Consider the following 26,376-nt stretch of genomic DNA (forward strand, 5'->3'; position numbering starts at 1 on the left):
AGTGTTTGTGGCTGTGGTGGCAGTGGTGATTATGGTCGATGGTGGCAGCCAGTAATTTTTGGTCAGCTCATTGGTCAGAGAGTCCCTAAGCACAAGATTTCTAGAAACATTTTTTCACCCTACATCTTCCATACCTTTAAATAAAGAAGAGGTTACTGAAAGAAGGATCTAAGAGGAAGTGTCAGAAAGCTTTACACGTATAAATTCCTTATTTAAGTAGTTTTTATATTTGGAGCTTTCAGGAGTTGAACTTGGAAGATTTCCTATTTTGGCTCCTGGTATGGTGGGGCACAGCCCTGAGATCACGAGTGGGATCATTCCAGAATACTGTAGAAAGGGAGAGGAAGGGGTCAGGGCTACAACTCTGTCTCCTGTTTGGCTACACCACTCAACACGGTCAGTGGGATAGACTGACCAGCTATGCGAGCCCAAACGAAATCAGGTTGACAATGCCGGAGCCCCAAACAGTGGTCCCCACAGAGTGCCGCAGGAGCCGCCCTCTGGCTTCTCCCTTTCACCTCTTTCTTTAAGGCCTGTATTATTGCTCTCACCACAACTTGTCCTGAGAGAGGTGTCTATAATTAGCTCAGTTTGTGTGCAGGGTGGCTTAACGTGGAGGAAGTGGCATGAGGAACTTTGGTTAATCTTAAGAGGAAAGTCCTGAACACAGTTGATGTCCTGGGAGGGCGGGTCACAGACACAGAGTTCCCACCTCTTTGCCTAACTACCTACAGTCACACACAGTGCCTTGTATTGCAGATATTCATGTGTGTATTTGAGTCCCCAGCTGGATCTGAATCCTTGGAGAGAAATGTCTCCGAGAGGGCTGGGTCTTTTTTGTCTCTGTTTTCTCAGTGCTGAGCTCAGTCCCTGGCCCAGAGGACACACTCAGAGGGAAGGAGAAGGCAGGAATGCAGAGAATCTCTTACCAGTGGGTTAGAACTGCTGCTCTTGTGCCCACATTGCCTTCCTGGTCCCTCCCCTGCAGGCCCTTTTGGGTGTGGTCAACCCCGCAGTGTCAACCCTGTTTCTAGTTATTGGCGTTTGTTATGCTTCCTCACTTCAAAGGAACCAGAAAAATAATTTCCAAAAACAGCTGCCTTTGTACTTTCTAGGCCTTTTAAGGTTTTTGCATGCCAGAATCTCACCTATTTCTAATATCATAAAGATGTGGCTGCTTTGGAAAATATACCTCTGAGGCTTAATGCTATAATAACTTCCAGAATAATAAAACAACCTCCGTCTCTGGGACCTCAGTACCTTAACCAAGCATCGTGTCCACTTTGGGCTCATCATTGGAGGGAAAGTACGTACTAACAAAGCAGCGGACCAGGCACTGTGGCTCACACCTGTAATCCCAGCACTTTGGGAGGCTGAAGCAGGAGGACCTTTTGAGGGCAGGAGTTCAAGACCAGCCTTGCCAACATAGTGAGACCTTGTCTCTATAAAAAGCAACAACCACAAAAAACTAGATGGCCTTCAGGAATTCACCAAATAAGTTTTAGTGCTTTTATTTTTGTGAAAATAACAGACCTATCTTTTAGAAAATAGGTATAGCTGTGTATGAGGACATTGGCCAAGTGTGACTGGTGGAAAAAAAAAAATTGGCTGTTTGAGTAAGCAAGATGGGCTTCATTTCAGCTTAAGGGACAACCACAGCATCTTGGAGTTCAGAAAGGGTGTGTATGTGTCCTTTAGAAACAAACAAGGCCAGGCGTGCTGGCTCACACCTGTAATCCCAGCACTTCGGGAGGCGGAAGTGGTTGTGCCCAGCTATGTTGCTGGGCAACATAGCAAGACCTCATCTCTACTTTTAAAAAAAAATTAGCCAAGCATGGTGGCACGCACCTGTATTCTCAGCTATTTGGGAGGCTGAGGTGGGAGAATCACCTGAGCCCGGGAAGCCAAGGCTGCAGTGAGCTGTGATAGTGCCACTGCAGTCACTCCGGCCTGGGCGACAGGAGTGAGACCCTGTGTCAAAACTATTAAAAAGGGAAAGTGGACAGTAGACTTGGATAGACTTGGAGTTTCCCAGAATGATTAGTGTCAGTATAGAAGCAGCTTGGCTTGAATCGATTAACCCAGAGCCTGAAATTACAGGGGTCTAGAACCAGCACAGAACACGCTTAGATACAGATACCTCAGTGTGGAAGCATTCCACATTTTCTTCTAAGCATGTTAGAAAGCTCTCACTCTGAAAAAGACGCAGTCAGAAGAAGGGGCACAGAATTGGTTCTTTCGTTATACACAGAATGTATAGTTTAGGCTGCGAGATAACCTCCTAGAACAGCAGTTCCCACCCTGCTGAGCATGAGATTGCCTGGAAAGGCATTTGGCTTGGACCAGCTGAATCAGAAATTTCTCTGGTGGTTAACATTAGATTTATTTACTGCACTAGAGAAATGAGTCTGATGTTGAATTTTTCAAAGCTGATGAAACTAAGTTTATAAATAGTTTATATGCCTTTTTACCAAGTAACTCTTATTCTAGGAGTCTAAGAATAGAGTCAGTAATTCAGACAAAGATTTATGATAACAAATATACAATAGCATTATGTATGATAGGGGAAAATTGCAGTGACCTAAATATTTAATAAAGGAGTGGCTAAATTAGTTGTGGTTCATCTATACTGTTGCATATATTTGGCAAGTAAAACAGAGTTTTTAAAAGATAATTAATAGCTAACAAAATGCTCATGATGTAATCGTAGGTGGCAAATAGCAAGGTACAAAATTATATATGTCCACGAAAGAAATATTGTAGGATTTCGCTTACATGAGGTACCTAGAATAGTCAAATTCTCAGAGACAGAAAGGAGAATGGTGATTGCCAGGGGCTGATGAGAGAGAGAATGAGGAGTTAGTGTTTAATGAGTGCAGAGTTTCTGTTTGGGAAGATAAAGTTCTGAAGATGGAGAGTGGTGATGAAGTCACAACACTTTGAACTTAATGTCACTGAAATTTACAATTGAATGTGGTTAAAATGGTAAATTTAGTGTTATGGGTATTTTACCCCAATAAAAAAGAAAGGGCCTCCACCCCAAAATGCTGTGGAAGGAGGCGAAGGAACATGGCATGAACTCAGTTCCAAGCTCTTGACAAATAGCTTTAGAGACAGATCAGCTGTATTCTAACATGAAAGAAAATAAAGGCTGGACCGGCTGCAGGGGAAAGATTGTGCATGTATAGGATGTCCTAATTCTTAAAGAAAAGAGCACAGAGAAAAATTCTTTAAATTAGTTTTAAAAATTAGAAGTACAGGGAAAAAACTCCAAATGTGGTGACAGTGATCACTTGTGATAGAAATATGAGGTTTTAAAATTTTTTCCTATCTTTAAGAAATTTTACAGTTTCTCCCTAATGAATATATAGAAGCTCAGAATTACTCATAAAAATACTTTTTCTTCTTTTTTGTTTTATAGAGATGGGGTCTTGCTATGTTGCCCAGGCTGGTCTTGAACTCCTGAGCTCAAGTGATCCTTCCACCTTGGCCGCCCAAAGTGCTGGGATTACACTTTGGGTGAGCCACCATGCCCAGCCTTAAAAATAATTTTTAAGTGTTTGCATTCTTTGCTAATCTCTACATGAAGGGTGCTTATGACATGTTTAACAAGCAGTCCAAAGTGGTGTATCCCCATCAGAGTAGCCCCCTTGAGAGGCCATTGCTAAGAGCTGGCCATTCCTCCGGTGCTTGGTGACTTTATTGTCTGGAATACATTCTTGTGGATATCCTCAGAGAGCGCACATCCTTACACTGGGGGGTATTGAAAACTTGGGAGACTGCTGCCGGTCATCTAGGACCAAGCCTTGTGAACAGGTAGATGCTTCCATCAATATGCTCCCTTCTTTTTGAGGAGGATGGTTTTGCAGCTGGGCCTTTGCATGGTGTGGGAAGTCCTCCAGTTTTATATTCCATTGTTAAGTGAGAGGTTTCTTTCCATTTTGTGGGAGGAGGGATCTGTCATCATGCAAACTAGCGGTTACTTATCAGGGTTGTTAATGGCAACCAACAGAAACTGACATTGATTTAGCCTGTACAGAAATTTAGTGAAAGGTTATTGGGGAGCTTCCAGAATCTCCAGGAATGCAGAAGAACAAAGGTCAGAAAATAGGCAAGAACAAAAAGGAGGCTGTTCAGCTGCAGCTATGGGCAAGACCAGACCACAGATGCCATCCAGGAAGGACACACTGCCTCCCCTTATGTGGTGAGACTGGACCTAACCTCTGCTGTAGGCCTGTGGGTGCTGCTGCTGCTGCTGCTGTCTGAGAGAATTCTCTCTTCTACTTGTTTCTCTGCATCTCTGATCACAGGTTCTAAATCCTGGGCTGGTGCAGCCCACTGGCCAGGCCGCTGTAGTTGTCTTTGCTGTGAGGGAAGCTGGGGAAGGGAGTGTCTGGCAGTGTTCAGTGACTGTGATGTCAGGCCAGCTCAGCCCCCATTAGACTGGGGAGAAGGGGGTTCCAAAGCTGGGCAGCCGAACAGATGACAGATAGCCACTATGATACTTACGTGGCTGTCTGTCAGTCTTGTTAATCCCTGCCAGGGTCCAGTAATGAGCAGGTGATTATCTCTGGAAACGATAGCAGCTGTTGGCATTTCGCCCCAGGTCACCTAAGCATTCTCCCCAAGGGGGACTGCCAGAGGAGCCAAACTATATGCCGATTAACTACTGGGAACACATGTGCCACGTCTTCATCTGGTGCAACTCTGCTCACAGATGGGGCTACCTGCTCTGTGGTTTATACACGTAAGGAGTAGTGATGGGGGTGGGGATAGGGCTAAGGCAACATTTGAGGACAGCAGCTTCTAGGGATCCCTTTAGAAGGGTCTCGTAAGAGTTCCAAGAACTCAGTGACTTCAGAATTCAGGTAATCAGACTGGCAGATGAATTTTTCCTTTTAGTTGATGGAGCAAGTATAGGAGTTTGGCCCTGACTTTGGCAGGAATGTAATGACACCATCCTCTTGCCCTAGGTTGAGTACTCCTATCAGTCCTTGAAGTAACTGATCACAGCCAAAAGGCCACTCTTCACCGTGATTATGATTTCTGTCTTTAATTTTCACATCATCTATTTAGTACTGCAGCTACGGGCTTACTGGCAGCTCCAGACACCAGTGTCCTTGTGAACAAGGCTCTGGTAGATTTCAGGCGAGTTTACACATCCCTAGAGGCAGTACAGCAAACGGCAAACAGCTATTTATGTTAGGTGAAGATGGACTGCTTCAAAGAGTCTGGACAGCAACTGAGAAAAATGCATTTGTCAAGGTTTTAATGCATATAATTTTCCAGCAAAGGTGTTTACTTACTCCAGTAACATACTAAGTAAACTGCATTAGGAAAAGCCTCTTTAGTATTTTACATCCTTTTCTATAATTGACCTTAGATTCTAGATTGCTTAAAAGAAGTCGCCCAAGTCAGAGAGAGCTTTGGGGATACCTGGAATTCTCATTTTTAATGTGTGCCCCAGGGTTGGGAACACGCTTTGAGAAGCTGTGCTCTAGTGCCTGGTTCCTGGTGCTGAACCCAAGGATATGTGAACCAGCTGGAGACCTGTAAGAGGGAGGGCAGACCACTCAAGTTGTTGCATTTCATAAATTAAATCCCTTCATTTTTAGACCTTTTGATATACTTAATTTTTTTCAGACCTTTTATTTATTATTTTTTTTTAAATTATACTTTAAGTTCTAGGGTACATGTGCACAATGTGCAGGTTTGATACATAGGTATACATGTGCCATGTTGGTTTGCTGCACCCATCAACTCGTCATTTACATTACGTATTTCTCCTAAGGCTATCCCTCCCGCATCCCCCCACCCCTCAACAGGCCCCGGTGTGTGATGTTCCCTGCCCTGTGTCCGTGTGATCTCATTGTTCAGTTCCCACCTATGAGTGAGAACATGCAGTGTTTGGGTTTCTGTCCTTGCGATAGTTTGCTGAGAATGATGGTTTCTAGCTTCATCCATGTCCCTTCAAAGGACATGAACTCATCCTTTTTTATGGCTGACATGGTATTCCATGGTGTATATGTGCCACATTTTCTTAATCCAGTCTAACATTGATGGACATTTGTGTTGGTTCCAAGTCTTTGCTATTGTGAATAGTGTGGCAATAAACATACATGTGCATGTGTCTTTATAGTAGCATGATTTATAATCCTTTGGGAATATACCCAGTAATGGGGTTGCTGAGTCAAATGGTATTTCTAGTTCTAGATCCGTGAGCAATCGCCATACTGTCTTCCACAATGGTTGAACTAATTTACACTCCCACCAACAGTGTAAAAGCGTTCCTATTTCTCCACATCCTCTCCAGCATCTGTTGTTTCCTGACTTTTTAATGATCACCATTCTAACTGGTGTGAGATGGTATCTTGTGGTTTTGATTTGCATTTCTCTGATGACCAGTCATGATGAGCATTTTTTCATGTGTCTGTTGGCTGCATAAGTGTCTTCTTTTGAGAAGGGTCTGTTCATATCCCTTGCCCACTTTTTGATGAGGTTGTTTGTTCTTTTTCTTGTAAATTTGAGTTCTTTGTAGATTCTGGATATCAGCCCTTTGTCAGGTGGGTAGATTGCAAAAATTTTCTCCCATTCTGTAGGTTGCCTGTTCACTCTAATGGTAGTTTCTTTTGCTGTGCAGAAGCTCTTTAGTTTAATTTCATGCCATTTGTCAATTTTGGCTTTTGTTGCCATTGATTTTGGTGCTTTAGTCATGAAGTCCTTGGCCATGCCTGTGTCCTGAATGGTATTGCCTAGGTTTTCTTCTAGGGTTTTTATGGTTTTAGGTCTAACATTTAAGTCTTAATCCATCTTGAGTTAATTTTTATATAAGGTGTAAGGAAGGGATCCAGTTTCAGCTTTCTACATATGGCTAGCCAGTTTTCCCAGCACCATTTATTAAATAGGGAATCCTTTCCCCATTTCTTGTTTTTGTCAGGTTTGTCAAAGATCAGATGGTTTTAGATGTGTGGTGTTATTTCTGAGGCCTGTGTTCTGTTCCATTGGTCTATATCTCTGTTTTGGTACCAGTACCATGCTGTTTTGGTTACTGTAGCCTTGTAGTATAGTTTGAAGTCAGATAGCGTGATGTCTCCAGCTTTGTTCTTTTGGCTTAGGATTGTCTTGGCAATGTGGGTTCTTTTTTGGTTCCATATGAACTTTAAAGTAGTTTTTTCCAATTCTGTGAAGAAAGTCATTGGTAGCTTGATGGGGATGGCATTGAATCTATAAATTACCTTGGGCAGTGTAGCCATTTGCACAATATTGATTCTTCCTATCCATGAGCATGGAATGTTCTTCCATTTGTTTGCGTCCTCTTTTATTTTGTTGAGCAGTGGTTTGTAGTTCTCCTTGAAGAGGTCCTTCACATCCCTTGTAAGTTGGATTCCTAGGTATTTTATTTTCTTTGTAGCAGTTGTGAATGGGAGTTCACCCATGATTTGGCTCTCTGTTTGTCTGTTCTTGGTGTATAGGAATGCTTGTGATTTTTGCACATTGATTTTGTATCCTGAGACTTTGCTGAAGTTGCTTATCAGCTTAAGGAGATTTTGGGCTGAGATGATAGGTTTTTCTAAATATACAATTATGTCATGTGCAGACAGGGACAATTTGACTTCCTCTTTTCCTAATTGAATACCCATTATTTCTTTCTCTTGCCTGATTGCCCTGGCCAGAACTTCCAATACTATCTTGAATAGGAGTGGTGAGGGAGGGCATCCTTGTCTTGTGCCGCTTTTTAAAGGGAATGCTTCCAGTTTTTGTCCATTCATTATGATATTGGCTGTGGGTTTGTCATAGATAGCTCTTATTATTTTGAGATACATGCCATCAGTACCTAGTTTATTGAGAGTTTTTAGCATGAAGTGCTGTTGAATTTTGTCGAAGGCCTTTTCTGCATCTATTGAGATAATCGTGTGGTTTTTGTCATTGGTTCTGTTTATGTGATGGATTACATTTATTGATTTGCGTATGTTGAACCAGCCTTGCATCCCAGGGATGAAGCCAACTTGATCATGGTGGGTAAGCTTTTTGATGAGCTGCTGGATTCGGTTTGCCAGTATTTTATTGAGGATTTTTGCATCAGTGCTCATCAGGGATATTGGTCAAAAATTCTCTTTTTTTTGTTGTGTCTCTGCCAGGCTTTGGTATCAGGATGATGCTGGCCTCATAAAATGAGTTAGGGAGGAGTCCCTCTTTTTCTGTTGATTGGAATAGTTTCAGAAAGAATGGGACCAGCTCCACTTTGTACCTCTGATAGAATTCGGCTGTGAATCCGTCTGGTCCTGGACTTTTTTTGGTTGGTAGGCTATTAATTATTGCCCCAATTTCAGAGCCTGTTATTGGTCTATTCAGTGATTTAACTTCTTCCTGGTTTAGTCTTAGGAGAATCTTTGTGTCCAGGAATTTATCCATTTCTTCTAGATTTTCTAGTTTATTTGCATAGAGGTGTTTATATTATTCTCTGATGGTAGTATTCTCTGTGGGATCAGTGGTGATATCCCCTTTTTCATTTTTTATTGCATCTATGTGATTCTTCTCTCTTTTCTTCTTTACTATTCTTGCTAGCGGTCTATCAATTTTGTTGATCTTTTCAAAAAACCAGCTCCTGGATTCATTGATTTTTTTTTTTTTAAGGGTTTTTTGTGTCTCTATCTCTTTCAGTTCTGCTCTGGTCTTAGTTATTTCTTGTCTTCCAGTAGCTCTTGCTTCTCTAGTTCTTTTAATTGTGATGTTAGGGTGTCGATTTTTAGATCTTTCCTGCTTTCTCTTGTGGGCATTTAGTGCTATAAATTACCCTCTACACACTGCTTAAATGTGTCCCAGAGATTCTGGTATGTTGTCTTTGTTCTCACTGGTTTCAGAGAACATCTTTATGTCTGCCTTCATTTCGTTGTTTACCCAGTAGTCATTCAGGAGCAGGTTGTTCAGTTTCCATGTAGTTGAGCGGTTTTGAGTGAGTTTCTTTATCCTGAGTTCTAATTTGATTGCACTGTGGTCTGAGAGACAGTTTACAGTGATTTCTGTGCTTTTACATTTGCTGAGGAGTGCTTTACTTCCAACTATGTGGTCAATTTTAGAATAAGTGCAATGTGGTGTTGGGAAGAGTGTATATTCTGTTGATTTGGGGTGGAGAGTCCTGTAGATGTCTTTTAGGTCTGCTTGGTGCAGAGCTGAGTTCAAGTCCTGGATATCCTTGTTAACCTTCTGTCTCGTTGATCTGTCTAATATTGACAGTGGGGTGTTAAAGTCTCCCATTATTATTGTGTGGGAGTCTAAGTCTCTTTGTAGTCTCTAAGGACTTGCTTTATGAATCTGGGTGCTCCTGTATTGGGTGCATATATATTTAGGAGAGTTAGCTCTTTTTGTTGAATTGATCCCTTTACCATTATGTAATGGCCTTCTTTGTCTCTTTTGATTTTGTTGGTTTGAAGTCTGTTTAACCAGGATTGCAATCCCTGCTTTTTTTGCTTTCCATTTGCTTGGTAGATCTTCCTCCATTCCTTTATTTTGTACCTGTGTGTGTCTCTGCACATGAGCTGGGTCTTCCGAATACAGCACACTGATGGGTCTTGATTCTTTATCCAGTTTGCCAGTCTGTGTCTTTCAATTGGGGCATTTAGCCCATTTACATTTAAGGTTAATATTGTTATGTGTGAATTTGATCCTGTCATTATGTTGTTAGCTGGTTATTTTGCCTGTTAGTTGATGCAGTTTCTTCATAGCATTGGTGGTCTTTACAATTTCTCATGTTTTTGCAGTGGCTGCTACCGGTTGTTTCTTTCCATGTGTGGTGCTTCCCTCAGGAGCTCTTGTAAGGCAGGCCTGGTGGTGACAAAATCTCTCAGCATTTGCTTGTCTGTAAAGGATTTTATTTCTCCTTCATTTATGAAGCTTAGTTTGGCTGGATATGAAATTCTGGCTTGAAAATTCTTTTCTTTAGGAATGTTGAATATTGGCCCCCACTTTCTTCTGGCTTGTAGGGTTTCTGCTGAGAGATCTGCTGTTAGTCTGATGGGCTTCCCTTTGTGGGTAACCCTATCTTTCTCTTGGCTGCCCTTAACACTTTTTCCTTCATTTCAACCTTGGTGAATCTGCCAATTATGTGTCTTGGGGTTGCTCTTCTCAAGGAGTATCTTTGTGGTGTTCTCTGTATTTCCTGAATTTGAATGTTGGACTCGCTTGCTAGGTTGGGGACGTTCTCCTGGATACTATCCTGACGAGTGTTTTCCAACTTGGTTCTATTCTCCCCATCACTTTCAGGTACACCAATCAAATGCAGATTTGGTCTTTTCACATAGACCCATATTTCTTGGGGCTTTGTTCGTTTCTTTTCACTCTTTTTTCTCTGACCTTGTCTTCTCACTTAATTTCATTATTTTGATCTTCAATCACTGATACCCTTTCTTCCACTTGATCGAGTTGGCTGTTGAAGCTTGTGCGTGCGTCACAAAGTTCTCGTGCCATGGTTTTCAGCTCTGTCAGGTCATTTAAGGTCTTCTCCACACTGTTTATTCTAGTTAGCCATTTGTCTAATCTTTTTTCAAGGTTTTTAGCTTCCTTGCGATGGGTTTGAACATGCCTCTTTAGCTTGGAGAAGTTTGTTATTACCGACCTTCTGAAGCCTATTCTGTCAACTCGTCAAAGTCATTCTCCCTCCAGCTTTGTTCCGTTGCTGGCGAGGAGCTGTGATCCTTTGGAGAAGAGGTGCTCTGATTTTTAGAATTTTCAGCTTTTCTGCTCTGGTTTCTCCACATCTTTGTGGTTTTATCTACCTTTGGTCTTTGATGTTGGTGACCTACAGATCGGGTTTTGGCGTGGATGTCTTTTTTGTCGATGTTGATGCTATTCCCTTCCGGTTGTTAGTTTTCCTTCTAACAGTCAGGTCATTCAGCTGCAGGTCTGTTGGAGTTTGCTGGAGGTCCACTCCAGACCCTGTTTGCCTGGGGATCACCATTGGAGGCAGAACAGCAAATATTGCTGCCTGATCCTTCCTCTGGAAGCTTCGTCCCAGAAGGGGAGCCACCTATATGAGGTGTCTGTTTACCTCTACTGGGAGTTGTCTCCCAGTTAGGCTACATGGGAGTCAGGGACCCACCTGAGGAGGCAGTGTGCCCTTCCTCAGAGATTAAATGCCTCACTGGGAGAACCACTGCTGTCTTCAGAGCTGTCAGACAGGGAAGTTTAAGTCTGCAGAAGTTGTCTGCTGTCTTTTGTTCAGCTATGCCCTGCCCACAGAGCTGGAGTCTAGAGGCAGTGGGCCTTGTTGAGCTGCGGTGGGCTCCACCCAGTTCAAGCTTCCCAGCCGCTTTGTTTACCTACTCAAGCCTCAGCAATGGCAGACGCCTCTCCCCCAACCAGGCTGCCACCTCGCACTTCAGTCTCAGACTGCTGCGCTAGCAGTGAGCAAGGCTCCATGGCCACGGGACCCACCGAGCCAGGCACGGGAGAGAATCTCCTTTCTGCTGGTTGCTAAGACCTTGAGAAAAGTGCAGTATTGGGGCAGGCGTGTCCCATTTTTCCAAGTACAGTCTGTCAAGGCTTCCCTTGGCTAGGAATTGGAAATCCCCTGACTCCTTGTACTTCCCAGCTGAGGTGATGCCCCACCCTGCTTCAGCTTGCCCTCTGTGGGCTGCACCCACTGTCCAACCAGTCCCAATGAGATGAACCAGGTATCTCAGTTGGAAATGCAGAGATCACCCGTCTTTTGCATCAATCACGCTGAGAGCTGCAGACGGGAGCTGTTCCTATTTGGCCATCTTCCAGACCTTTTATTTTTAAAAGAAACTTCTCTACCCCGAATGAAATCTTACTCAGAAACCTTATTTGTAAATAAAATCAAAGTTCTACTCTGAAGCCCTCATAGATCTCCCCCCTTGCAAGGACCCTGAAGACCTGCACCCCACAGAGCCATGGGGTTTAGTGTGACAGGCCTCACGTGTGGGTGCAATGCCCTCTGTCTGTCCCTGGCTTGGGCTGCTGGGCTTTATTGCCTCCTAGTGTCTCACACACATTAGGTGGTCAGTAAATAGGTTTTGAATTAGTGATTGAAACAATTTTGGGGACACCCACCAGCTTCTACTTTGGAGAGATCAGAGAAGCCTAAATATCAAACCTTTCAACTTCTTTTCATCAGCTCACATGCTTCTAGTCTCATTCTTGTTTAAATTTATACCCCACATAGTCATAGGAAGTTGCTGGCAAACTCAAAATGTGAAACAGCTGATGAATTGACACTATTTCTTTATGGATGAAAGTAGATGTTACAGAAATAAGCTCTTTTATGTTTTACTCCGAGCTACCTTAACTTCATTTGGAAAGTAGCTAAGGAGTAAATACTGAATTTTACATACTAAATAAAGTTATATGCTAATCAAAATATATGTCCTTCCAGCTGAATGACCTGGTGCAGGGTGAGAAAGGAGCTGTTATGGATGAGAATCGTGCCCCCTGGTTTTGGAGGTGGGGGAGGCACAGAATAACTTATCTTGTTACATAGTTGGTTTGTTATTTTTCTTCTTCTATAAGTAAAGAAAAAGAGTTCTGAAAGCAAGAAGATTGAGAAAGCAAACTGAAATGTCTTCTTGAGTTTGGCATGAAAGATTATGAATTTTATCTTTGTGGCTGATAGAGAGCAACATTAGGATACAGAGCAACGTTAGGAGGAGGCTGAGCAGTAAGTGGTTAGTTGAGGTCAGGCACTGCCAATGCTGGATTAAGATTTCCTGTGAGTGAAAGGTGAATTTACAATTAGTAATAAAAGATATCTAACTATCTCAGGCATTGTTTCCAAAAGGTTTTTGAAAAAAGAATTGTCACTTAGTAAAGTTCATCTATTCAGTTTGTTAATAAAACTATGTTTTTAGGATTAAACTGCTCGAATGCAATTTATGCTTGTCCAGTCCACGTTTCCATGTCCCTCAGCTCTCCTTGGTGATATGGTACCTAAAATTGCAAGTCAGGATTTATTTTGAGGGATTTTATTTTAAAGGTTAATAAAGTTCTGCTGAAGGGCAAATCTGTAAAATTAAGGACCTAAATGATAAAGAAGGGGAGGCCGTAACTCTCCTGCTTGAAAGTTGTTTGTGGTGGGTAAGAAAGTGCAGGGTACAGCCTCATGTATTTCCTGAGGCGTTGACTTGCCTCTGTTGGGATTCGAGAAGGACCCAATAAATAGCATGTCTCGCCCTGCCTGAGGAAAAGCGAGACAAAGGAGTCAGGATTTGGAGATGTAAAGTATCACCTTTATGAGTGATAAAGCAGATATTGAGGAGTGTGGCTTATATCTGTTGGCAAACAGGTTTCAAATACTGGACCCTGGAATTAGACAGGCTTACCTAGTGATGGGCCGTGCAGGAAAGTGCAGGCTCCTCTCCGTGGAAGGAGCAGAGCAGAGTGCAGGTTCTCTGTCTGCATGATGGCTCCAGAGAGAAAGGGAAGGAGCTGAGCTAGAGGTCACCAAACTTTCTTGGCTTGCAGGCACCCTTAGTACCTCAGCATGCTTTTTATAGTGCCTCTCAGTCAAAAGAAGTACCTAACAGTTCTATGTGTTAAGTAAATTAGGTCCAAATAACTCATCAGTATTAGTAAGCTAGGTGCCTCACAAGTGTCACCGTGCTTCTCTTGAATGTATCCCACAGGGTCCCTGTGAGTTTGCTGTAGCACTGCAGAGCACCATGGCACATAGTTTGGGAAATACAGTCTCCTTCAGAATTCAAAAATAAAATTAAGTCGTAACTAATCCTCTTGTAAAAGGCTAAGAGGGGGTGAAGATGAGCCAGATGTATTACCCAAGTGGAGATCCCTCCACATGGGAGACATCTTTAGCAGCAGGAGAAGCATATGCCACCTCCTGCCGCCACACTTACCCCAGCACCTGGGCTTCAGCTCAGAGGAATCCAGAGCTGATGCGACTCTCTAACCTCGGAGACTGACGCATGTAATCAGTTTGTACTCAGAAGCTATACCTTCCAGTGTTCTCGGTACCGCATAAATCTTGGGAAGGGAAATGGAGAGAAAGGTGATAACCCCATGGGAATACATTGAGTACATCTCCACAGCCTACCCTTTCAATTCCACATGCCCTGAGGTCAAGTCCTATGAGGGCCAAGGATAGACTTACTTTCATTTGGCTAAGTTAGATGCATATTGTCAGTTCTGTAGAGCCTCCGAGCAAACTATTTTTTTCTTTGCTTTAGCTCCAATGGAAGCATAGCCTGCAGTTAGAAAAATGAACAGCCGGGCCTTCCATGTATACTCCTAACCCAGCAATCAAATGGCCACTCCTTTATAAGGCACAATTTCTATTAGTAATAAGAAATAGTACATGGTAGATTTCCAATCATAAACAACTAAATACTTCCTGTGTATGCCTCTCATTTAAACCACAGAATATGCCCAGTCTGCATTTATAGCTTGATTGGTCAAGTGTGCATTTCATTCAGATTGTCCTCATCAGTAAAATACCAGTATTAGCAAATCATGAATTGCTAAATGTGCAAAAATAAAAATTACCATAGTCAAGTATTTAATTCCCTTGTATTAAAATTGTATTGTGTCCTACTCAATACATACAAATTTAAAAGTTTGCAAACTATGTCTGAACAAATGTTTAAATGTTTTACTAACTTCCCTGTCCCCCTGCCACGCCTTAAAAAAACAAAAAGCACCTTTCAGGATTAATCACCTGGGGAGTTTGCTCTGAATTACTGCCTTGGGAGGTGGCAATATGAAACAGAAGATCTGAAATGAAAAGATTCTGGTTATGGGTGCCACCATGATTACCTGCAGAAAAAGGTGGGCTCGTCAATTAACAGGAGATGCTGGCAGAAGCACATTTATGTAGGGGGGTCCAGGGTGTCTTTAGAAGGGCCGTGCTAAACAGGACACACCCACCCAGCTCCACCCGCCGTGCTGCAGGTGCTCCTGTTTTCCCTTCTCTGCTTTATTGGCAAGTCCTACCGGCTTCAATCGCACGCCATTTGTCCCCTGCTCCACTTCCACCTGGGTGTCTTTTAGTCTCCCATAGCTTCACTCCTCCAGAGATCCTGGCAACTTAAAGCCTCGCAGGAGTCTCAGTTTCCTTGTCAGTAAAATGGGGATAATTAATAGTCTCTTTCTATGTCATGGGGTGATTATAAGATCACATGAGATGTATGCTGAAGCATTTTGTTAACTGCAAAATGCTATATAAATGTCAGGTGTTATAAATCATTAGCTGGTCTATTCCTCAGCTAAAGCGGTTTCTATGCATATTTTAGTTACCCCCTAAACAATTCTTTTTCAAATAGCAAATGTAAATGCTGCTGTTTTTTTCTGCTTGGATTATGGTGGCTCCTTTGCAACTTTATGATGTAGGCTGAATCTTTAAATACTCCTTTGGCTCATATCTCTTCCCCTGAACACCCATGCGAGATCATAATCCATAAAACACAGAGGCAATAACTCCTTTTAATTGCCAGGAGTTCATCATTTGCTAAGTTCTAAATGCAGTCACTTAGGCACTCCTTTTGAAAAGCCTGTCTCTGTTTATTCTGCAGAGCCGAGACTGTCTGAAGCTGGGCCCACCTGCTGAGGGAGAAGTCGTCCAAGTCAAGTGGCCCGATGGCAAACTCTATGGAGCAAAATATTTTGGATCAAATATTGCCCACATGTACCAGGTGGGTTCTTCCTTCTCTGTGATGCTTGCTAAGATTGACATGATAAGTCAGAAGGAGATAGTATCTCAAGTGTGCTGCTGAACAATAAGCCACATGAATTTGGGACACCTCTTATTTTATGCAGGAGGCAAAGATTCAATGTGTAATGACCCAGGTCGAAACCCTGGAGTTTTATTACCAAGTTGGACACTGGGAAACTCTTAACAGCATTTGATGAATGGTTTAATTGTAAGGAATATGGTTCTGCCAGAAAGATAAGTGACTAGAAGACAGGCTGCCTCCCACTGTTTCTGTTGTATGGGGAACGACTAGTTGGCCGATTCATCTAACCTTCAGCCAAGACAGCGATGGCCACTCTTCAACCAGCAGCCCCTGAAGTGGTGGCTTTTGCTGAGAGACATAGTCTCCCCACTCCCCGCTATCTCAGCAAAGCTAGACAACAGTGCATTGACATAGATGTGGCCAGTTAATGTCACAAGGAGCTGATGGTTATCATCCACCCAAGCTTAAAGGAATGCTTGTTTAAATGAAAAGTACAGCTATCAGTTGGACGTTCTGTTCACCAGGGAACCCTACGTAGTATTAAAGAGTATATATACAATTTTAAAATGAATTACTTTTATTTCACCCAGAAATGAGAATGAGTTAAGCTTTAATAAGGGAAACAACATGGATAGCACGTGCACATTTATATTCCTTCAGAAAGGTTTTAAAAGGGGACATTTAGAGCCAATACATTGTAGAATTTTCAGTAACACTGTGTCAGAAATCAAGATTCTCAGGCTAAACTGTAGAGTGAAAACAAGAAGGTTGAAGTAAAAGGAGAAAAAGCAAGAAGGTTCAGGCCTGTTGAAAAACAGCTTGAGAATGATAAGACTGTCAGTTTCAACAGAGAAATTGTTCAAAGACTGATAAGGAGCAAGAGCTTAAATGGAAGAGTGCATTGTAAGATACTGCGTCAGGACCTGGAGCACAGTGTAATTAAAGGTGTTCAAAGAAGTTTGAAAAACTTAGGAGAGAGTGTTTTTCATGGTCTAGAAAAACCTAAGGGGAATGGATAGGGGAGGATGTATACACATACATTGTGTGTGTATGTGTGTATGTGTGTCTGTGTGTGTAAAGGCCATTTCCCCCTTTGCATATGGTATTGGTGACAGTCTCAAGATACAAATTCAAGTTATTTATAATAGTAAAGGTACTGGAGCTTCATTGCATTAGAATGACCAGAATTAGGCAAAAATTGCAAGACAGGCTATAATACCGGAGGATCCTGGAAAAGAAGCATTACTACATAATGCAAAATAAAATAATTACATTTAATTAAATAATAAGTGCAAAAGCAAAGCTTCTTACATGTAGCAAAGCCATTTGCTACATGAAAAGAATCACATAATGAGAATATGTTGAAATTCAGGCTAATTAGTAATCAGTGTGTTAACTTCAGTTGAATTTATGATGGTCTATCAACATAAAACTATGAGCATATTTATAGACTCAATGAAAAAGTTAAGACTAATATTAAAATTGTCTCTCAAGCACAAGTAGTTTAAAATTCCTCATTAAGCCAAGTGGCCTTTTGAGATCTTTTTGTGTTTTGTGTCTAATTATTCAACTTCACCATCAAATAAACAAAGACAGTTTTAAAAATAGATATGACAGATAAATAAATACCTGCTGCACAGTGCTTAATATCCTAGGCATATGCGTTTTTTGACCCTCAGAGTAGTCCTACAAAATAGATGTTATTGACTCCTGTCTTACAAATGAGGGAAGAAAGGCTGTGAACAAAATTTTTAATGATTTAAGAATAATTTTTTAATAATTTGTCCGAGAGCACGCAGCTGGTAAAGAGAGGGCCAAAATTCTCTCTCAGCTCTGCCCTAACTAGGGTGGACAACCATCCCTGCTTGCCTGGGACCATCCCTGATTTTAGTACTGAAAATAACTACATCCCAAGGGACCCTTGAGTCCCAGGCGAACTAGGACGGTTGGTTACCCTAGTCCTAGCACAGCATACTCCCTTCTAGGTTTGTAATTGCCTTTTTGTCTTTTCGATGTTTTAAGTGGTCTAAAACAAATGAAAGTAGGCACAGGTGGTTCTAGCTATGCTATCAACTAAGTTGGGTAAATCAGATGACACTATGGCCTAGTTCAATGTTAAAGAAATGTTTCTGCTCAAACAAGGCCAGGAAGAAAACCCTTCCCATTGTTAGCCCTCCCGGAAGTGACAGCAAGGGTTCTCATGTGACTGGCACCTAATTCCACTGTATTGTTTAGCTTATTCAAAATGCTAACAGTACGTGGATAATAATACGTTCAATTGTATGTTTGATCTTTATTAAGACCGTGGTGGATGTTCATCAACCAGAATTGGTAACTTGTGCCTGAGAGACATACCCACCTGGGTGTCTCAGCAAAGCTAGACCAATGCATTGGCACAGATGTGGCCAGTTAATATTATCATCCACTCAAGAGAGTGTTTGCTTAGTGCAAAGTGCAGCGATATATCAGTTGGACATTCTGTGAATTAAACAATAAGTGTAGCTGGGCACAGTGGCTCATGCCTGTAATCCCAGCACTTTGGAAGGCCGAGGCAGGCAGATCATCTGAGGTCAGGAGTTCGAGACCAGCCTCGCCAACGTGGTGCAACCCCGTCTCTACTAAAAAAATGTATAAAAATTAGCCAGGCATGGTTGGCGGCATGCTTATAATTACAGCTACTTGAGAGGCTGAGGCAGAAGAATCACTTGAACCCAGGAGGCAGAGGTTGCAGTGAGCCGAGATCGCGCCGTTGCACTCCAGCCTAGGCAACAAGAGCGAAACTCCGTCTCAAGAGAAAACCAAAAACCAAAAAAAAATTAGTGTAAATTTTTTTCAAACTCTAGATTTTTTTTTTATTAACATGGCACAGCTGTGTGGTTTAACTTACCTTTTGACTAGAAGTATAAGCATATTTTCATTTCTTTAAAAAATTCAGACAAAATTTAGGGACTTCAAAAATACCATGTGGTTCAGAGTTAGAACATATTAAGTATTCTACCTGATTACATCCGTTTTGTTTCCTGCTAGATTAGTTCATGTTGTATTAAACCTAAACCAATCTAAACCTAGGTGCTCTAGGTTTCTGTTAGCTGGTGTTATTTACCTTTTCTTTGACAAAATCTTTTAAAATGTTAAAAACAATTGGTTATGAAATTATTTGCTTCCATTTGGTTAGTGCGAGAAAAGTTTTAAACATTTTGTTTTAGATGATGATGTATTTTCACACATTGATGAGGTTTACATGTTAGGAGGTTGAGAAACAGATTTTCCCAGCTCCTTTGATGGCATTTGATTGAATTTGACACGTGAATTTTGAAAGTTCAAGCTCTGTAAGAAATGCATAAATTATTTTATCTGGGAGGATTATTATATAAGAGTAAACAGGCCGGGCATGGTGGCTGACACCTGTAATCCCAACACTTTGGGAGGCCAAGGTGGGAGAATTGCTTGAGTCTAGTCAGACCTTATCTCTACTAAAAAACTACAATAAAATAAAATAGCTGGGCGTTGTGGCACACAGCTATGGTTCCAGCTTCTCAGGAGGCAGAGGTGGGAGGATTGCTTGAGCCTGGGAGGTTGAGGTTGCAGTGAGCTGAGATCAGGCCACTGCACTCTAGCCTGAGCAACAGGGCAAGGCCCTGTCTCAATTTAAAAAAAAAAAAAAAAAAAGGAAATATATTATCTTTTCTTTCACAGAGAGAAACAATTCTCCTTGTTACGTTGTCAGAGCCTCTTAAAGAAATGAACCGTGCTGACAGACCCAACCCATTTTAATGCTGAATTTCCCACAGTCTCATGTTTTGTGATTTCCATTTGATCAGCAGCTACTTTTCTTTGTTGTTGCTTCGCCAGATAAAGTTTTCATATCCTGTATTCCAAGACACTCATTTCCAAGAATTTTGGCCTGTTTTGAAATGTATTTTGTATTTAGTTTATTTATTTATTTTTTTGTTTTGAGACGGAGTCTTACTCTGTCACCAGGCTGGAGTGCAGTGGTGCGATCTCAGCTCACTACAACCTCTGCCTCCCAGCTTCAAGCGGGTCTCCTGCCTCAGCCTCCTGAGTAGCTGGGACTACAGGCATGCGCCACCATGCCTGGCTAATTTTTGTATTTTTGTTAGACAGGGTTTCACCATGTTGGCCAGGATGGTCTCGATCTCCTGACCTTGGGATCTGCCTGCCTCAGCCTCCCAAAGTGCTGGGATTACAGGCGTGAGCCACCATGCCCGGCCTCTACTTAATAAGGGAAATAACTCTTCTTACTTCCTTGGTTGTTGGCTGGTTCCCTTGTTTGTTCTGTTTGAGTCCTTTTCATCTTTTCATGTAGTTAATTGGAGCCTTTAAAAATGGTCAGTGCTGTTTTTTTAATATGTATCATGTTATATTATCTTTCATTAGGTTGAGTTTGAAGATGGATCCCAGATAGCAATGAAGAGAGAGGACATCTACACTTTAGATGAAGAGTTACCCAAGAGAGTGAAAGCTCGATTTGTAAGTGCTGGCAGATGCCACTTGGGGACCTGCCAAGTGAATTCCTTGTCCTCACCTCATGTTTCCCAAGCCCAGCAGGAAACATACTTGGGCTTTTGGATTAATTCTAAAAAAAGCCAATGCAACATTTTCCTTAGTGGAACCTATTGAATGCAAACTTCAAATTCAACCAAAATCGGGGAAATTAATGCATGTGCTTTACTTTTCTTCTAATGAAGTCACATGATGCTTCTTTGTGTTGACATTTATTGGTGCACAAAAATACTTACTGAATGTGTGCTCTGTGTAAAACACCAGGAGCAAACAAAGATACCATCAAGGCATTTGCAATCTTGTTAGTAGAAGCAACATTAAAAGTATTCAGGAGTAGATCAAAGGGGACTCGGCATAATTGAATGTCTGTCTATTCTTTTATAGGTTTTTCATGGATTGACTACCTTCTGTCTCAGAAAGTTACTGATGTTTGTGTCAGTTCATCATTAAGCTAAACTCTGACTTTCATAATAAAAGGGATAAACAAAGCCTAAATGCTAGTTGTGGGAATACTAAAGCAGTTTTTTAAAAAGGAAATAGTAGTTTCATGCCCTCACATACCATTAAAAGATGAACAAACATGGACAAATATTCAAAACTGCAGTCATTGAAAAATATAATTCACAATAATTTAGACTTCATATTATTGTATCATAAAATATTCAGTGGACCCTGAAATGAAGTCAGTTTTATTCATTTAGAATTATATCTATTGTGTCTGTGAAATGATAAATCCTAAATAGAGAAATTTGAATGGATGGGGTTTTTCTGACTAAAATGAAATTTTTTTTCTGAATAATTCAGTTTAGTGAGTGCTTATGATATACTTGTCTGCAGTGATAGAGTCACTATAGATTATTTGGTTATTTTGGAAAAACCAAGGGTTTTCTTAAATCAGGGATGTCCAATCTTTTTGCATCCCTGGGCCATACTTGAAGAAGAAGAATTGTCTTTGGCCTCACATAAACTACACTAACAATAGCTGATGAGCTACTAAAAAAAAAAAAAAAAAAAGCAAAAAAAAACTCATAATGTTTTAAGCAAGTTTACAGATTTGTGTTTGGCCGCGTTAAAGCCATCCTGGGTAGCATGCAGCCGGCGGGCCATGGGTTGGACACGCTTGCCTTAAACGTTCAGTTGTGTATGCAGCTTTTTTCCAGTCAGATGGGATCCTGACAGCAGAGTAACTGCATCAGGTGGGAACTGACTTTCCTCTCAGCTGCATCCTTCAGAGGAAGGTCCTTCAAAGTGAAATCGTCAAGAGGAGTGGTGGTATTGCTGCCCACTCGATGGGAAATGTGGCTCAGAGGGGACCCACACACCTGTAAATAGAGTAACTACTAGATAATGACAGCAAGCAAAGAAAAAATTAAATATTCCTGTTGTAAAGATACCAGCCAAATCTTACCAAGACCGAAAAACCTTAGATGACTTGTCGCTGTTCTGAGACCTGAAATTTCTTGAGAAAAACTTTCCTTTTCGAGATGTTAGAGATAGCTTCGTCTCGTTCTGTATTCCTGTCTTCCTTGGACTCCCCTCTTCCCTGCCTTATTCCCAGCTCCTCCCGCTCCTTTCTTTTCCTTTTTCAGCACCTAGAGATTTAGAGGATGGGGAGTGGAGTAGGTAGCCTCTCAAAGTCTCTTGGGTCTTTCATTTTCTAATCGATGTATGACTAAGCATCCTACCAGCTGAGTCTTGTAGATTTCAAATACTGTTTCTTAATCACATGAGAAGAAAGCTCATTGCTTTCATACTCTGATCACAATCTCTTTGTTTCACAGTAGATTTCGCTCAGATACCAGGATGCCTTCCCCTGTGGCTGTCTCGGAACACAGGTCCTGGATTTTCTAAGGTCTATTTCACTGAACAAGCTCACCAACATTCAATTTTTTTTTTATTCTCTGAAAAAATTTTTAATTAAAAAAAAAGTGAAAATATGTAAATCACATCCATACACTCTGAATGCAGCCTGCTATTCTGAGCGGCTAAGCCAAGTAGAAAATATCTTAGGGAACAAAGGCTCACGGTCACTAAGTCCTGTTGGCCACCTTTATTGAATCAAAGACATACACAGTCTTGTCGTAGCCAGCCTGTTTCTCCCCTGGGTTGGTACATAGCCCTCAGACCCTTGGTTAGTCTGTCCATGATTATTACTATTTTTTTTCCAGTTGGCAAAACAAATCTAATTGGAAAACTCATTGATGGAAGATGTTTTATGGTTAGAAAAGTCTTTTTTGTTTTTTAAGGATGGAGGTTAGCCGCCCTTGTCAGGAGGCCTTGTATTTTAATGACTTCGGCTCACCCAGACACACGCTGACTGGGGGAGAAACTGTTCAAAAGAGCCAGCAGTCCACCTCAGTGATTGTGTGGGGTTCTTTTCCACTCACTTCAGAAGCAGCCCCGTTACCTTTTATTGTCTCACAGAATAACCATAGCAACGGTGCATAATTAGCTAGAGCTCCTGGTAAATCGGTTTTATTATTGTATTTGAGAGGCCGACTTTTGCTGTTTCTGCACAGTGGCAACACTTTCATAGATGTTTTATTTTCTTCTTTGATAACTTTAGCACTTACACAAGTGAAAGATTACTCAGAGGAAGTATTTTGCCAAGAATGAATGAAACAAAAGTGTTTTCTCCTAATGGCAGAGGGAACCCAACCAGCCCATAATGATTTAGTTTTCTTCTCTAGTGAAACTAGGTGGTATGTGGGGGAAGCCGTGGAGGTGGCCTGTTACCCTGAGTAACTGTCCCATGAACTGGCTGGAAACATGAACAGCTTTACGCTTCGGTACATTTTTTGTTTTCAGGCTTCCTTGTGGCTGTTTTCTTGTTTTTCTCTTCTTTACTATGGACCGTGTGTTTTCAAGTCCTAAAGTGTCTTTCACCTCTGCCTCTGCCAGCAGCCAGGGGAAGCAGTCTCAGCACAGTGAAATGTGCTGTGTGTTGATGTCATCAGAAGTCATCCACCTCAGTGAAAACAGCTGCCAGTGCATTTTAGGAGGCAAGATAGTAGGGAATTGGGAAGCAAAAATAGTGCCTACCATAGACTTTAGGCTTTATCTGATTATCACAGAAAAAGCCACATGCCCTCACTCAGCAAACACTTACTGAACAGCAGCCAAATACTAGCCACATTGTTTGCTGTGGGGAACACATGTAAAATTGGGTACACAGTCCCTAATATCCTCACCTTTATGGGGTTCCCCTGATGGGGAGAAACTTACTTGCCCCTTACCTCTACCACTGCCCTCCTCTTACTGAGTGGATGTGTCAGGGCCACAGGAGTCCCAAAGAAGGACCCTTAAGCTTGCCGAGGGCAGAGACAGTAGAATAGAATAACTTTCACAGAAATGAAACAGTGTGTCCAAAGACAGAGAAGCATGGGGCCCTGAGCCAGGCAAGTATGACCAGGCCCTGCAACTGATGCCGTCTGAGCAGAGCACGGGGCAGGCTTCTGGCCAGGTTATGTAGGTCTAGCCTGGGGAGTGGGGATGTCATCTTGAAGGCAGTAGGTTGCTGGAAAATTACAAGCAAGGGCATATGATCATGTAGAGTCTTATAATAAGAGGGCTTTTAGAGAGCTTTCTTCCAGTGGTACTGTGGGAAATAGGTTGGAGGTACAGCATTTATTGCAGTGCTTTGCAGAGGTGAGGGCCTGCCCCATAGGGTAAGGATCAAGAAGAAAGGCTGAAGGGCTTCAAGGTACATGCAGGAGGAATCCTGGACACGGTGGGGAAATGTCTACAGTGCCTTTAGGTTTCTGGCCAATGTAACTGGGTGCATGGGCATGGTGGTGCCTTTTATGGAATGTAGGAAGGACAGCAATGAAGAAGGAAGGCTTTCAGTTCAATTTAGGACAGGTTGATTTGAAGGGCCTCTGAGACAGGGACTTTGTGATGCCTGCTGGGGAAATGCACTTACAGGCCTGAGCTGGAGCAGATGTGAGCATCTCCTGCAGACACTGAAGCCAGGGGTGTGGGCACAAAGGCCCAGGGAACAGGAGTGGAGAGGAGAAGGCCCAGTGCCAAACCTTAGGGCATCGTAGTTGAGCAGATAGTTAAGAAAGGGAACCCCTGAGACATCAAAAGTGAGCAGCCAGAGAAGGAGAAGCAGGAGAGTGGGTTTACAAAATGACAGAGAAGAGAGCTTTAAGCAGTAATTAGTTGGCAGACTAGTCAAGTCAGTTTAGGGATAGGAAGGTGTCACAGGAATTAGCAACTAGGACTTCATTCAGCAAGAACAGTTTCAGGGAAGGGGTGGGGCAGAGGCCCAAAGCTAAGTAGGAGTAAAGGTAACTTAGAGATGACTGTTGACATTTGTCAAAAACAGAGGGGAGATGAAAAATGAGGGAAGTTTAAAACGAGAAGACTTTAATCTTGCTTTTGTTTGGGGAAGGTCCCTGGGGTTGGAGGGTGGGGAGATCCTGGAGAAAGTAGGGCTAAATGGAGCCCCCCACTTTGGGTGGGAGAGGCGAGGGAAAGCCCAAAGCCATGCCTGGGGCCCTTTTAGCCTGAGCTGGTGACCTGGGCATCTGCACCCTAACCCCAGCTGACCGAGTCAGATCTTTGTCCAGTGTTCTGAAGATCAAATGCCGTGCCCTTTTGCAATATAACACCAGCTGCTTTTAGTCCACAGCCTCTGACATGCGATTTGAAGACACGTTTTATGGAGCAGACATTATCCAAGGGGAGAGAAAGAGACAAAGAGTGCTGAGCTCCAGGTTTAAGAATGAATATGTGGCCGACCCTGTATACCGCACTTTTTTGAAGAGCTCTTTCCAGAAGAAGTGCCAGAAGAGACAGTAGTCTGCATACATCGCTGCAGGCCACAGAGCAGCTTGGGTTGGAAGAGAGAAGATGAAGGGACATCCTTGGGGCTGTGCCGTGAGTTTTGCTGGCATAGGTGACAGGGTGTGTCTCTGACAGTGGTAAATCGGGTTTCCAGAGTTTGGTCACCAAAAATACAAAATACACCCAATGAATTGGACGCAGCAATCTGAAATCATCTCTAGTCTTGCTTTCACTTGTGAGCAGTTGTCTTCTATGATCCCAAAGAAGTTTTCTAAGTGAAAGGAAATACTAGTGAATCACCCACAAGGAAAAGCCACTGCCACAGAGGAGGCGGGTCCCCTTGTGCGGCTTAGGGCCCTGTCAGGAAACACACGGGGACCTCTCTCTCTAGCTCCAGCAGGTGGCACCTCGGTACCCAGCGGGTAGGGCGATAATTTATATATTTTCCACAGTCAGGGAAGGACTCTCACTTATTTGTTTCAAATTGCAGTTTTTATAAAACATTTTTAAAACACAAATGGCATGTATGCTAATGAGATTTACCCGTGTGCTATCTGTATTTCCCTTGTACAGAACTTTTACATTTTTGAATATTCCTATTACTTTTGATTGTGTCTGATGGGAACTGAGTTGTTGGCCTTTGTGAAATGAAATTTTTGGCTCTTGAGAAAGAATTCTTATGAATTGTTATGCGAATTTTATATATTTAAAGAGGGAGATCTGGGGCTGTTATTTTTAAACACTTTTTTTCATAATACATATTCCGAGTAGATATTTATAAAATATATGTTTCTTTCATTATGTGTTTGTAAAATTAGAGTTTAAATAAATATGCTTTGATGCATAGTTTTGAACTAATGTAACATGATTTTTCTTTTTTAAAACAGCCTGAAAATGTACTAGTGTTTAAAAATAAAGATTTCCATTTTCTCCAGTCCTGTCTCTGACTTGCTTATTTGTCTGGGTTTAAACCAGTAGAAAAACAAGTTTATTGGAGAGCTGGCTATCAGGACATACTGCGGCCCAGGTTTTTCAGACCCTCCTTCTGTCGCTGACTTTTTCCATGGTTGTGGCACATGCATGGCGATATTTTTGGAGACAAAGTCCCCTGCCTGCCTACTTCAGTACCAATGGAAGTGTTTTCTTCAACTTCTTCTAGGCCCTGAATACATCTCAGACCCTTGAGTCTGGATCACTTTTCGTTCCAGGATTCCTGGTCCGCAGCTGTCATTAGTAGGAATTAGAGGTCCTCCAGTCCCTCCTTCATTGTATAAATGAGACCCGGAGGATAGACAGGAAAAGGGATGCCCAAGGGCAGGCAGTTTTGGTGACTGCTTCAGTTAACTGGGGCCACCATTTTGCC

At 42.1% G+C, this 26,376-nt stretch overlaps 1 protein-coding gene across 18 annotated transcripts in view; it reads left to right on the top strand.

The window, feature by feature from the left end:
• Positions 1–25,947, top strand: part of KDM4C (lysine demethylase 4C) — a 454,786-nt gene extending 428,839 nt beyond the window's left edge. For 16 of the 18 annotated variants that reach the window (NR_148680.3, NR_148679.3, NR_148677.3 and 13 more), the window contains 3 exons: positions 15,537–15,656; positions 20,097–20,189; positions 24,852–25,947. Coding sequence is in view for 13 of the 18 variants with exons in the window: in NM_001353999.3 (NP_001340928.1) it covers positions 15,537–15,656; positions 20,097–20,189; positions 24,852–25,028 (390 nt within the window). In the remaining 5 variants the exon portion in view is untranslated. Of the gene's footprint in view, positions 1–15,536; positions 15,657–20,096; positions 20,190–24,851 lie in introns of those variants that run through there. The other 2 variants (NM_001304339.4, XR_001746255.3) reach the window with 2 other exon arrangements.
• Positions 25,948–26,376: the final 429 nt, after the last annotated feature.

The sequence above is a fragment of the Homo sapiens genome, chromosome 9, assembly GCF_000001405.40.
Source record: "Homo sapiens chromosome 9, GRCh38.p14 Primary Assembly".
In the NCBI taxonomy this organism is placed as follows: Eukaryota; Metazoa; Chordata; class Mammalia; order Primates; family Hominidae; genus Homo; species Homo sapiens.